General features: G+C 40.2%; 1 protein-coding gene across 16 annotated transcripts in view; it reads right to left on the bottom strand.

Moving 5' to 3' along the window:
* Positions 1 to 12,474, bottom strand: part of MAP3K7CL (MAP3K7 C-terminal like) — a 98,774-nt gene that overhangs the window by 20,110 nt on the left and 66,190 nt on the right. For 15 of the 16 annotated variants that reach the window (XM_047440930.1, NM_020152.4, NM_001371374.1 and 12 more), the window contains one exon: positions 6,528 to 6,589. In XM_047440930.1, coding sequence (XP_047296886.1) covers positions 6,528 to 6,589 — 62 coding nt within the window. Of the gene's footprint in view, positions 1 to 6,527; positions 6,590 to 10,070; positions 10,202 to 12,474 lie in introns of those variants that run through there. The other variant, NM_001286624.2, reaches the window with a different exon arrangement.

Raw genomic sequence — 12,474 nt, 5'->3', positions numbered from 1 at the left:
GCCCACTTTTCCTCCATCTCCGCCTCCTCCCGCTGCCGCCTGAGGATGGAGCTCGCAAGGGCTTAATATTTCATGGCAGTGCAGCGTGAAGGAGCTGCTGCTATCTCTGGTATCCGCCCCAATTATCAGGACCGATTTAACAAGATGAAGTAAGAGAGAAACCGCAGGGTCCGGTTCCAAGAATGCCGGCTTGAGCCACACGGTGCTATGGTGCTGTTCTGCTCTCTGCCTGAGCTTGCCGGTTCATAGCAAGCTCCTCCCGAAGTGGATTCCACTCCCTGGAACAGACCCCATGGGGAAGGACCCAGCCAAGCCACCCTCAGCTAGGAGCAAAGCCGGCTCGGGCGTTTCCGTTTTCTATTTGGCTTCTGCGAATACTACTGGCCCCATCCTCTTCAAAAATGTCAGAATTTAATTTTCCTATCCCAGCTTCCCACACAGGAGATATATTTAGGAAGCTAAACATTCTACACTCGCTGAGCACTCTTTGTATTTATTCCTTGATTCTCAGGGTTACCTACTTTTGGGAAAGATGGGGGTGTCTGATTTAAATTTACATTACATTGTAATGTCTTAAAATTAACAAGCATCGTTTGTTAAAACTGAGAGGAAAAACACAGTCCATGCTGATTTCGATATTTAAGAACTCTATTATCTTAGAACTTTAAATATTTTAAGAAATGACATTTATATAGTATCTACATTACAGTACAAGTTGAGCACTATCAATTATACTACAGAACTTATACATCATGTTACACTGGAGTAAAGTATATTTAAGTCATTTCTGTTGACATAAACAATATCAAAAGGAGAAAGAACACAAGAGTAGCAAACTTTTTGAACAAGCCATACCTAAATGACAACTGAGCTTCTCAAAACAAACAAAAAATTAAAGGCATTATTGAAAAGCTCCAAAGTATCTATATATGTTTTCTGTGTGGACACAGCAATCAAAGAAAAATTGCAGTATACAATACTTTTCAATGTGTGTATGAGAGAAAATGTCAGCTACGTCTGGTGCTTTCTATGAGAATATACCCTAACCACATTTCCAGATGGATGTTAAAGACCAGTGTAGCAGAATCCTGGAAGGCTAGACTTCTTCATTTTCTATCATTTTCATTTCCCAGATGTCAAGCAATATATTGATGCAAAATCTAAAAGAAGTTTTCGGAGAGGCTGCTTGGATAACAGGATATTATGGTACACAACTGAAGCTACGAAATTGTTTATTTGTGGAGGTGACATCAGTTTCTGGACTTATCAGACTCTGTTAGTTCAGTGTGTACCACAGAGACACCTGTCACTGTCATCTCAGATTAGATAGGAGGACTTTAAGGAGGGATTGAAGCTATTGCTCAATTTGGTTAAAAAAAAAAAAAAGTCATATTGTTCTCGAAGCACCTTGGCTTAATGAAAAGAAGAGGGCATCAGAACTTCTATCCCTAACTTAAAAATTCAAGCAGATGCTTTTATTTCATTTTACATGAATAAAAATAAATTACTTATTCTTAAGTATTTCATTCAATAAATAATTTCACCAGAGAATGAAATTTACATTAATTGAGCAATTATTTTGTCAAGGACTGTGCTAGATCTACTCATTACCGTATTTAATTCCCACAACAATGTGAGATTGATATCATTATCTCCACTTTGCAGTTGAGGAAAGTGAGCTTTCAAGAGAGTAAATAACATGCTGGAAATCACAAATTTAGCTGAGATCCAAATCCAGGCCAACCCAATGCTAATGCCCATGCCTTGGTCATTGTCATTCTTATTAGTTATCATGTCCTATACCTGACAATAAAACATATTTCTCATTCCAATGAAGTTAAGACCACGTTATAGCATAGTTTTGGATCATGTGTAAGTCAAATCATGGTTCCAAAAACATAACATGCTTAAGCAGTAAGACAGGCTTGGTCTTGACCCAAACCCTGGGACCATGAAAGGATGCCACCATCTTTTAGAACAGAGAGAGACAAGTCAAACAGAAAGAAGCTGAGACCTGAAGAAAAGTAATGGCTGGGTGTGGTGGTTCACATCTGTAATCTCAGCATTTTGGGAGCCTGAGGTGGGCAGATCCCTTGAGCACAGGAGTTTGAGACCAATCTGGGCAACATGGCAAAACCCCATCTCTACAAAAAATACAAAAATTAGCCAGGTGTGGTGGCATGCACCTGTGGTCCCAGCTACTCAAGAGGCTGGGGTGGGAGGATCACCTGAGCTTGGGGAGGTCGAGGCTGCAGTGAGCCATGATCATGCCACTGCACTCTGGCCTGGGTGACAGAGCAAGACTTTGTCTCAAAACATAAAAAAGAAAGAGAATAGTGATTTTTCATTCATTCTTAGAAATGGACATAGAATTGGGCGTCCTTTCTTCTGACTATATCATCTACACTAGCTCTACTCAAATACTGTCCCTGATGGGCATGGGAAATTTAGAAACCTAGTCCCAAGAAAGGAATCTGCACAAATAGAACTGACCTTCCACCTACTCCTGGACAGAGGCCCAAGGCCCACAAATGAACATTATAAAGAGATATTCATTTTAACACCTACCTTCTCCTGCGGTCTCTTGCTCAATATTTTGCATTAATAGAGACATCAAGAGAAATGTTTTTCACTGCTATTCTTGCACAAGGCTTTTTTTGGCTTCTGTGAAAATAGAAGCACTGCAAATTACATGCTCAAACTTGTCCACATTCTTGGCAAAACAACAGAAAAATCCTGGGGGTCAAATTAGTGATTGAGTGTCTACCAAATAGCTATTTTATAGCAGCATTTTATAAACTACCAAAGCATGTGTAATGGATATCAGAAAGTCAGAACAGATTTTACAAGGTTATTCTATAACTACATTATGGCAATCTTGCAAACCAGAAACAAACAAAAAAAGTTTCCACCTATCAAAGTAATTTAAGCAGCCTGTATATTCCTTAAAAAGCGTAAGGGAAAGAAGGGAATAGTAAATGTATTTAGACCAAAATTTGGCCTCAAGTTTCTCATCTGTAAGGTGGAGACAAAACAGTTAGCTTACTCATTATTGCAAAGATCAAATGAGATCATATGTAGGGAAACACCCCTTGCCTAATAGGTACTCAGTGGCTTCGGTGGGATTTAAATCCGAGGTTTTGCAGAGAACGGGGCTGACAATACCTAGCATCATCTATTTTCCACCAAGAAAATGTTTAAGTCTCTGATAGAGGTAATCAAGACTCAATTCATTCTCAAGCAAATAGTTGCAACCACAAGGCACTTCATATGCCTTTGTAATCCAACTTTTACTCTTCCATAGTGGATGATGATAGTCGATAAAATTCCAAGAGCCATTACTGTGTAATGAAAGCACACGAGACTGACTATAAAGATGGCCTGCTCTGTGTAATAGATTGTTCCTTTTGTACATAAAGCATTTTCACTGCTTTCAATACAGAGACTTCCTGCAACAGAAGGCTTAAATGTATATGCTTACGCTAAGTATAGAAATAAAAATCTGCTTTTAGATGTCATCTTCTATTAGATTTCTCCTCCCAACCATCATCGTCTTGCTGTTTAGTCACTCACGCCCTGGAGTACAGAACAAAGATAACAGGCAACAGCTCTAGACAGAGGCAACCCTACCCAAAAGCCTTGACAACTGGTAAATGTTTGTAACACTCACTCCTATCCTTCATTCAACAAACAAGCACTTACTGAAATGTGTTTGGTTGTATTGCTGGTAACACACTCTCCATTCACAAAGAGATAAAGCACTATCATACTTTAAGGGGGAAAAAAAAATCAAAACCATGAGCCAGAAACTACCCTCTCAACTGCCTAATTCATTAAAGATCAATGAAGATGAAATAGTTTCATTGGAATAAAATAATTAAATAGACTTAATTTCTAACATATGTCAAGTGGAATTAAAGCTATAAAATTCAAATGGACCTGGCAATGCTTTAACAGAAAAATTATCTGGATAATTGCCAGAGCTACTGTGAGTCTTGTGGAGAATGATCCACGAGCCAGAGAAGACCATTAAAGTTCCCAAAGGAAAAAATGTTGTTCCAACACAAAAAAAGTAGAATTAATGATCCATAATTTGATGAGAGAACAATAGCCTGAATATGCTTTTAGTGTTTTATTTTCAAAATATGTTTACTCCTTATTTTCACCTGATTTCCGTGATAATAAAATAGCTTTGACATGACCATAGAATAAAGAGGAAAAAATATGACTAGGGGAAAAAATAGCTATTAGGTTGGTGCAAAAGAAGTTGTAGTTTTTGCCATTACTTTCTTTTTTATTTTTTTGAGACGGAGTCTTGCTCTGTTGCCCAGGCTGGAGTGCAGTGGTACGATCTTGGCTCACAGCAACCTTGGGCTCACTGCAACCTCCGCCTCCTGGTTTCAAGCGATTCTCCTGCCTCAGCCTCCCTAGTAGCTGGGACTATAGGTGTGTGCCACCACACCTGGCTAATTTTTGTATTTTTAGTAGAGATGGGGTTTCACCATATTGACCAGGCTGGTCTTATCCACCCGCCTCAGCCTCCCAAAGTGCTGGGATTACAGGTGTGAGCCACGGCACCGGGCCAATGGCATTACTTTCAATAGCAATCCCAATTACACCACCAGCAGCACATAGACAGCCTCTCTGTGAGAACAGAACCTAAGCAAGAACTATCACTTGCAGTGTCAACAGACCAGAAGAAAATGCAGGCCAGGCGCCGTGGCTCACGCCTGCAATCCTAGCACTTTGGGAGGCTGAGGCGGGCGGATCACTTGAGGTCAGGAGTTTGAGACCAGTCTGGCCAACATGGCAAAACCCCGTCTCTACTAAAAATACAAAAATTATCCGGGCGTGGTGGCACATGCCTGTAATTCCAGCTACTAGGGAGGCTGAGATGGGAGAATCGCTTGAACCCAGGAGGTGGAGTTTGCAGTGAGCCGAGATCACATCACTGCACTCCAGCCTGGGTGACCAAGGGAGACTCTGTCTCAAAAAAAAAAAAAAAAGGAAAGGTAGAGGGAGAGCTGAATTGTTCTTCATGCTGAAAAGAAGACATATTGGTGGGGGTGGGAGTGGGGAAGGGAGAGACTATGGTTAAAAATTAGAAGCCAGGAGAGCTGGGTTGAGAACCCTGCATGGAGGATAGAAAAAAGAGGGAGACGTGATGGCTGATAGCTAGAGAGGAAATTTTAGGGGACGACAGAGCTCTTTTGACAGCTGTGTGGTGATCAGTGTAACCCTCCGACCTCCTATACAATTTTCAGTAATACCTACATAACTGATAATGCTCTGTTGAGCAGCTTTCTGTTGGAAAGCTGAGACAATGCCCAGGACTGCTACAAAGGTGAGAATGAGGACTCCTCCAAGCGGCCAGATCACACCTGAGTCACCCTCAGTTGGTTTTTAGAGACCACCCTGGCAGTAGAACACCAGCTCTTCAAACCTGACCTGGTTGCTGCCAGGTTTTTAACACAGTGCTCTGCATACTGAGGTAAGAACAGAAGCAAACAAAAAGGAACACTATCTTGGCTTGCGGAAGGGCTCATTCTTGGTTCTTCTTCCACCTCTGTTGAGGGCTGTCCAGGAATAAGAATGCCAAACTCAAATGACGTTAGGACACAAGGCACACCCACAAATGGGAAAAGCTGCTGTGTGTAAGATAATAGGGTATGTCAGGGCCTGTTGGGAACTGGAGGTTACAAACCCCTCCTAAAGGCTTTCAAAATCAATATTTAGGAGAAAAAAGTGGTGACTAAGAAATGTCTGTGTACAGGATTCAAGACCCCTATTGGACTTGCCTAAATGTGACTACAAAGTTAAGTATTCAAGTGAATGGCTGGCCCAAGGCCAGTATCCTGGTATTTTAGACAGAACCTCTTCTGAAAGCCATTTTTGCCTGGAATCACCATGGATAATCTAAAGAAAATTAAAATGTGATAAATGAGCTCCTTTCAAATAATTCTGGTGTATTAAAATATCTTTCAACAGATCACTCAGAAACTACATATACAAAATAATTTGTCATGGGTCCAACAAGTCAATTTTCAGAAGGTTTAAGTTAAAATAGTTATATTCCATTAAAAGTTGTCAGAGAACTGGGGAAGGGGCAGGGAACAGAGAAAGGAAGATTATTCCAAAGTCTTGGCAAACATGGTAAGTCTTCTCTGCAGAGTTTAATACTAAATCACTAACCCCAGACAAGCCAAAAATGCAATGACCTAGAGACAGCCATATCGAAGTAGAGAAGGGACCCGTCCTTTTCCCAGGCTCCAGAACCCCTTAAAAATAGGAGCCAGTTTATGCTATAAGCACTTGCTGTCCTGGTGCCATAGCCAGATAACCAGACAGGGGCATTCCATGAGGGCTTCAGCCTGACTTTGGAGCTCTAGAAATGTAATCCTTGATGACTTCAAAGCCCCACATTCTGGGTCCAAGTCAGTCTCCCCTAGTCAGGCCACTCTCTGCCCAGCTCGCTATACTTTATGACACTAAGGAGGAAAGAAGAGAGACTTTAGAAAAATCCTTACCTGTAGCTGCTGGTCTAATTCTGGAAAGACCAAAGGAATGGAGTCTTCAGGGGGTGTATCATCTAAAACAAGGAAATAAAATGATTCTTCACTATGGAGCTCTTTCTTGTAGGAGTCCTTGGACTCCCCCAGAGTTAGACCATCAGTATACACTGTTTCAGTCATTTCATCACTTCAGTTGGGGACAGACAGAATGTAAAGGACAATTTTGCTCATTTTCTGTACACACAGATGCGTGGAGAGCTTAGGTCGCCTGAACAAAATTTTGCAAGCAAATATCAGAATCCTCAAATGTCCAGGCTGGCAGCTCTCCAATTAAGAAGGACTGCTTGTCTTTCAATACTCTTACATTGGCCAAAACCAAAAAATATGATATGAAACAAAATGCTTTAACAAGGTGCTAATGAGGTGGCCAGAAGGACTTTAATGGGACAGGAGAACATGTTAGTGAAAAGTAGAAGCATTCGTTCTGCTCTGAATGACTCCAAGTGCCACAAGCTGTGATGGTATTGCTGTCTGCTCCTACCACAAACCACACTAACAGGCAGTTAACCAGAAACTCATTCTGGGTTACAGTGAGAAGCAGGCAGCAACCCAAATGGGGCGTTTCTTTCCAATACACCAGGCAGCACTCCTACCCTGCAGCAGAATTCACAGCTTTGTTAGGGAGCGCCAGAGCCCAGAGAGTCCCGAAAGACCTCCTAACTCATGCTTACGTTGACTGGTTGGCAATAGGCAGCTGTTGCTGGATGGCAAGATGCAGTTCTAAGAAGCATTTGAGGAAACCTGACCAAAATATGGGTCAAAATATCCAAGTCACCCCCAATCTCTTCAAGAACATAGTGCTGACCGAGCCTTGGTGCTAGAAAGCAGAACTTCCATTATCTCCAGGTACTCTCTGGCTCTAAGGTCCATTGGCCACTCATTTCCAATCCCTACCCTAGTACATACACAGTACACATATATGTACAGTAAAGGTACAGTACAGATACATATACAGTACACATACAGTATACCTACACATACATATATAATAGAGATACAGTACAGGTATATATACAGTACACATATACATACAGTACAGGTACAGTACAGATACATATACAGTACATACATATAAAATACAGACACACATACAGTATACCTACACATACATATATAATAGAGATATAGCACAGATACATATACAGTACACATATACATACAGTACAGGTATAGTACAGATACATATACAGTACATATACATATGCAATACACATACAGTACACATGCACATACACAAACATATATAATATATAATAGAGATACAGTACAGATACATACACAGTACACATACATATACAATACAGATACAGTACACATACACATACATATAATAGAGATACAGTACAGATATACAGTACAGATATATACAGTACAGATACAGTTAGGTTTATACAGTACACATATACAGTACAGATACAGTTAGATATATACAGTACACATACAGATACAGCACAGATACATACATACACAGTACACATACATATACAATACAAATACACATACAGTACACATACACATACATATACAATAGAGACAGTACAGATACATATACAGTACACACATACAGTACAGGTATAGTACAGATACATATACAGTACACATATACATACAGTACAGATACATACACAGTACACATACATATACAATACAGATACAGTACACATATACATATATAATAGAGATACAGTACAGATGCATATACAGTACACATGTATACAGTACAGATACAATAAGATATGTACAGTACACATACAGATACAATACAGATACATATGCAGTACATATACATATACTGTACACATATATATGCAGTACAGTACATATACATATACAGTACATACATACAGTACACATACACAGTGCAGATACATATACAGTGCATATATGTATACAGTACAGATACAGTGCATATACTACATATGCAGTACACTTATACATATAGTACACATACATATACAGTACATATACATATATAGTACCTATACATATATACATTTACAGTACACATATGCATATACAGTACACATACTATGCATATACAGTATGTATGCAAAATATAAGGTGAAAAAATAATTTAAAAACCAAAGCTATTTTAAATTATAATAAAGCAAGAAAAGATAACAGTTTTTATGTTTTCATAGTCATCACCAAATTTCTTGATAAAAACTTGTTGGTGTTCTTTTTGAACTAGAGGAAGTGACATGGGCCACATACAATGTGGAAACAAGTATCCTCTCCCAATGTGCTGATAGTACAGTCCAGAATAAAATGCAGTACACAAGGCATTTCTGGCATCTAAGGCATTGAAAGCATCGAAGATAATCACCAAAAAGATAATTTAAACAAGCATGGTATTCACTTTGACCAAACCCCTCAAGGGTCATATCACTTAATAGTCTCTGGTATATTTTAGTCAAGAGTAGTATAACAATACTTCCATTTAAAAGTAGTTTAAAATAATGACAATGCATCACCAAATTTGAATCTGTTTTGTATCTGCTCCTATGCTAGACAATGGGTGTCCTCAGATTCAGTGATATCACTTAACTTTAGCTCACAGAACAAGTAAAAACTGAGAAATTTCCCAAGCCCCTTGCTGCAGGTTAGAGGACAGTCTTCAGAGGAACTGAGATTCAGTCCCAAGGCCCTTTGAATGCTCTACTTAGACCAGAAGTGACAAATTCTGCCAATTACTGTGCCTTGTTAAATCCACCCCAATGTTTGCAAAGAATTGGACAAAAGGCAAAAATAATACACTTGTCACCACTGAACCTTTAGAGGTAGGCTTCATTATAAAACCTATGCTTTGTGAAACTGATTTTGTTCTTAAGTGCGTTTACATTCACTGCAGTACAAGTTTAATAACCTAGACATCACGACCATTTTAGCTCATTGGGTCCAAGGCCAGAATGATTTGGCAAAGGTAAATGGGAACACACTGTACTTGTGCATCCCAACCCTAATAATCATAGACAAGCAGGCACTTGTTGGAAGGAGAAACCACTCTGTAAAGTATGAGAGCAGCTGAGACATTCTAGAATTCTAGAAGACAGCCAGGAATGAATCTTAAGGCTTCCTGAGACTTAATCCACCTTGCCCCCTGTGAAGTCACACTCCTTCCTGCTTAATTATTAAAAAAAAAAAAGTTATCCATTTACTTTACTACAGTAATGTAAATAGCAAACACCTGGTATCAACAGACTTAATGAGGCCCGTTGTGGAAATCGACGTCCTTATTTATAGTCACGCCATGTCACCTCACACATATGTGACCATACTGATAAACTTACAGATAAATAAAGTAGCTTCAAATTGGACTCCTTGAGTTGAAATAAAAGTCTAATTGATTAACGTAGAAATCAACATACAATAGATGTTTTAGAGAGTCAAGCAAAATAAAAAGTAAGACTTTTGTTAAAGAATGGATCAAGTTGGATTAACCCAAGCAGGAAATAGCAGCGGAAACAAGAAAACCAAAGACAGATGTATGAAGCCTACCAAGTCTGAAAGCCAGGCCTGTATTTCACTGTTTGATGCCATCTGGTTTAGCTGGCATCCCTACCAGCCAGAAGTTTCAGGGCTTGCGAAGCTGCTTACAAAGCTGCCCCAAGTTGATGTGTGGTGTGTTTACTTTTAAACAGTGGCTGCCTTCTTTGACTGGTTTTAAAAATAGGCAAATATTCTAAAAGCAGGATGATGAATCACTGGATTGGGCCAAAAGGAAAGAAGGAAAATGACTCATGCTGACTTGTAGCACAGCTGTTCCAAAAACATTTGGCTGAATCGTTGTAAAACATTTTGACAGTGATACCGGATCGGAGTTCCTGACAGCAGTTAAGTTTGTTTTGACAATTCCAGAAGCATAAAGTAGACTGTACAGTAGCTGTACAAGAGACCCTCTAGCAAATTTAGCTTTTTTGAAAAAAAAAATAGTTGCTTGATATGTTTATAATGGGACAAAATCACAGCACAAGTACATTTTTATTAAAATTTACCAATTATTTATTGTGCAAGACAGGGACTCAGACTTACGCAAATTGGCAAATCACTTTATCATATTTTTAATGCATTAAGGAAGTAATTTGAAGGCTTCTTCTTCAAAATGGCACTGTAGACTTACTAGACCAAGCAAAATGTATCCTAAGAAATTTTTTAAAGGATGAAATATAAAGGAAAGAAGAGGAAAATTTTTTATATAAACAGATGTTCACTGCCTGTTTGGCAAATACAATGTGACTAAGCCAACGTCCTTAAGCTAGAACTTTCTTACTGACAGCCCAACCATTATGATGTACCATAGTACATTTGATGATGGGCTCTTTTCAACATCTATTGAGCAGCTGTTGGGTTGGTTTCAGGATTATTTTGTTTGTAGATTCCCTTCAATTGTCTTCTCTGTGTTTCTCCATAACTTGAATAAATAGGACACATTGGGTCTGTAATCCAAATCCTCCCTGTTATTTAGCAATGATAGCTAGCAATCAGTTAACAGAGAATATTGAAGCTGGAAAGGACTAGGCAACCATCTGGTCCAGCCCCCTCAGAGTAGAGCTAAAGACAAGGACCCCAAAAAGGGAAAGAAGCCACCCAAGACTCCACGATTCGTGGCCATGTAAGACTAAGGGGTGTCCCCCAGCCCTGGGCTCTTTCCACCATACCACTCCGCTCTTCTTCACTTACTAGTCCATAGGTTCTCAGACTCGTATTTCATGAACCAGTAAAATTTTCCCTAAAATATTCTGGCTGGGCACAGTGACTCATACTTGTAATCCTAGCACTTTGGGAGGCCCAGGCAGGAGGATCACTTGAGGTCAGGAGTTCGAGACCAGCCTGGCCAACATGGTGAAAACCTGTCTCCACTAAAAATACAAAAATCAGCCTGGCTTGGTGGCACATGCCTGTTGTCCCTGCTACTCGGGAGGCTGAGACAGAAGAATCGCTTGAACCCAGGAGGCTGCAGTGAGAACTGGAGGTTGCAGTGAGCCAAGATCAAGCCCCTGCTTGCACTCCAGCCTGGGCAACAGAGCTAGACTCCGTCTCAAAAAAAAAAAAAAATTCCCTAAAACATGGGGAATTATGTCTTAAGAGCATCCAACTTTTTATTTAGCTAGTGAAGATGATTCAAAAATGACCACCGGATATCATTAGTATCCCTTTAGGACAGAGAGAACATTTCAACACCAAAATCATAAGGCAATCATAGAGTAAAGGAGTGGCCATTATATTACATACATTTAGCTTTACAGATAAAAATAAGCATATACCCAAAACACCTCACTGTCGTACCCTTCTTTCTTTCTTTATATCAGAGGGGTGAAAACTTCATCAAAGCCAGACCAGGTTTTGAGAACCACTGTTCTAAACAGCATCTTCACTGGGTTTTACAATCAATCATCTCCCCCTCCCACTGTGCTCCCCATCGTAGACATAACTGGGATGTAAGTTGAGACGCCCTAAATCCTTGTTAAAAAGTGTTTAGGTTGGGCCACGCGGGGTAGCTCACACCTGTAATACCAGCACTTTGGGAGGCCGAGGTGGGCGGATCACCTGAGGTCGGGAGTTCGAGACCAGACTGACCAATATGGAGAAACCCAGTCTCTACCAAAAATACAAAAATTAGCCAGGCGTGGTGGCACATGCCTGTAATCCCAGCTACTCAGGAGGCTGAGGCAGGAGAATTGCTTGAACCCAGAAGGCGGAGGTTGCAGTGAGCCGAGATTGCGCAACTGTACTCCAGCCTGGGCAACAAGAGTGAAACTCCGCCTCAAAAAAAAAAGAAAAAAAAAGTGTTTAGGTTTCCACACAGAGAAGACCTCAGGAGAGGGAAAGCCATGCCCAGAGGACATTCCCAAGCCCACTCCACTCCCCAAGCAGAACACAAGAGGCAGCCTTGCCCAGGATC

Source organism: Homo sapiens, chromosome 21 (assembly GCF_000001405.40).
Source record: "Homo sapiens chromosome 21, GRCh38.p14 Primary Assembly".
In the NCBI taxonomy this organism is placed as follows: Eukaryota; Metazoa; Chordata; class Mammalia; order Primates; family Hominidae; genus Homo; species Homo sapiens.
The sequence above is the reverse complement of the archived record's forward strand: the minus strand, read 5'-3'. Positions and strand labels throughout refer to the sequence as shown.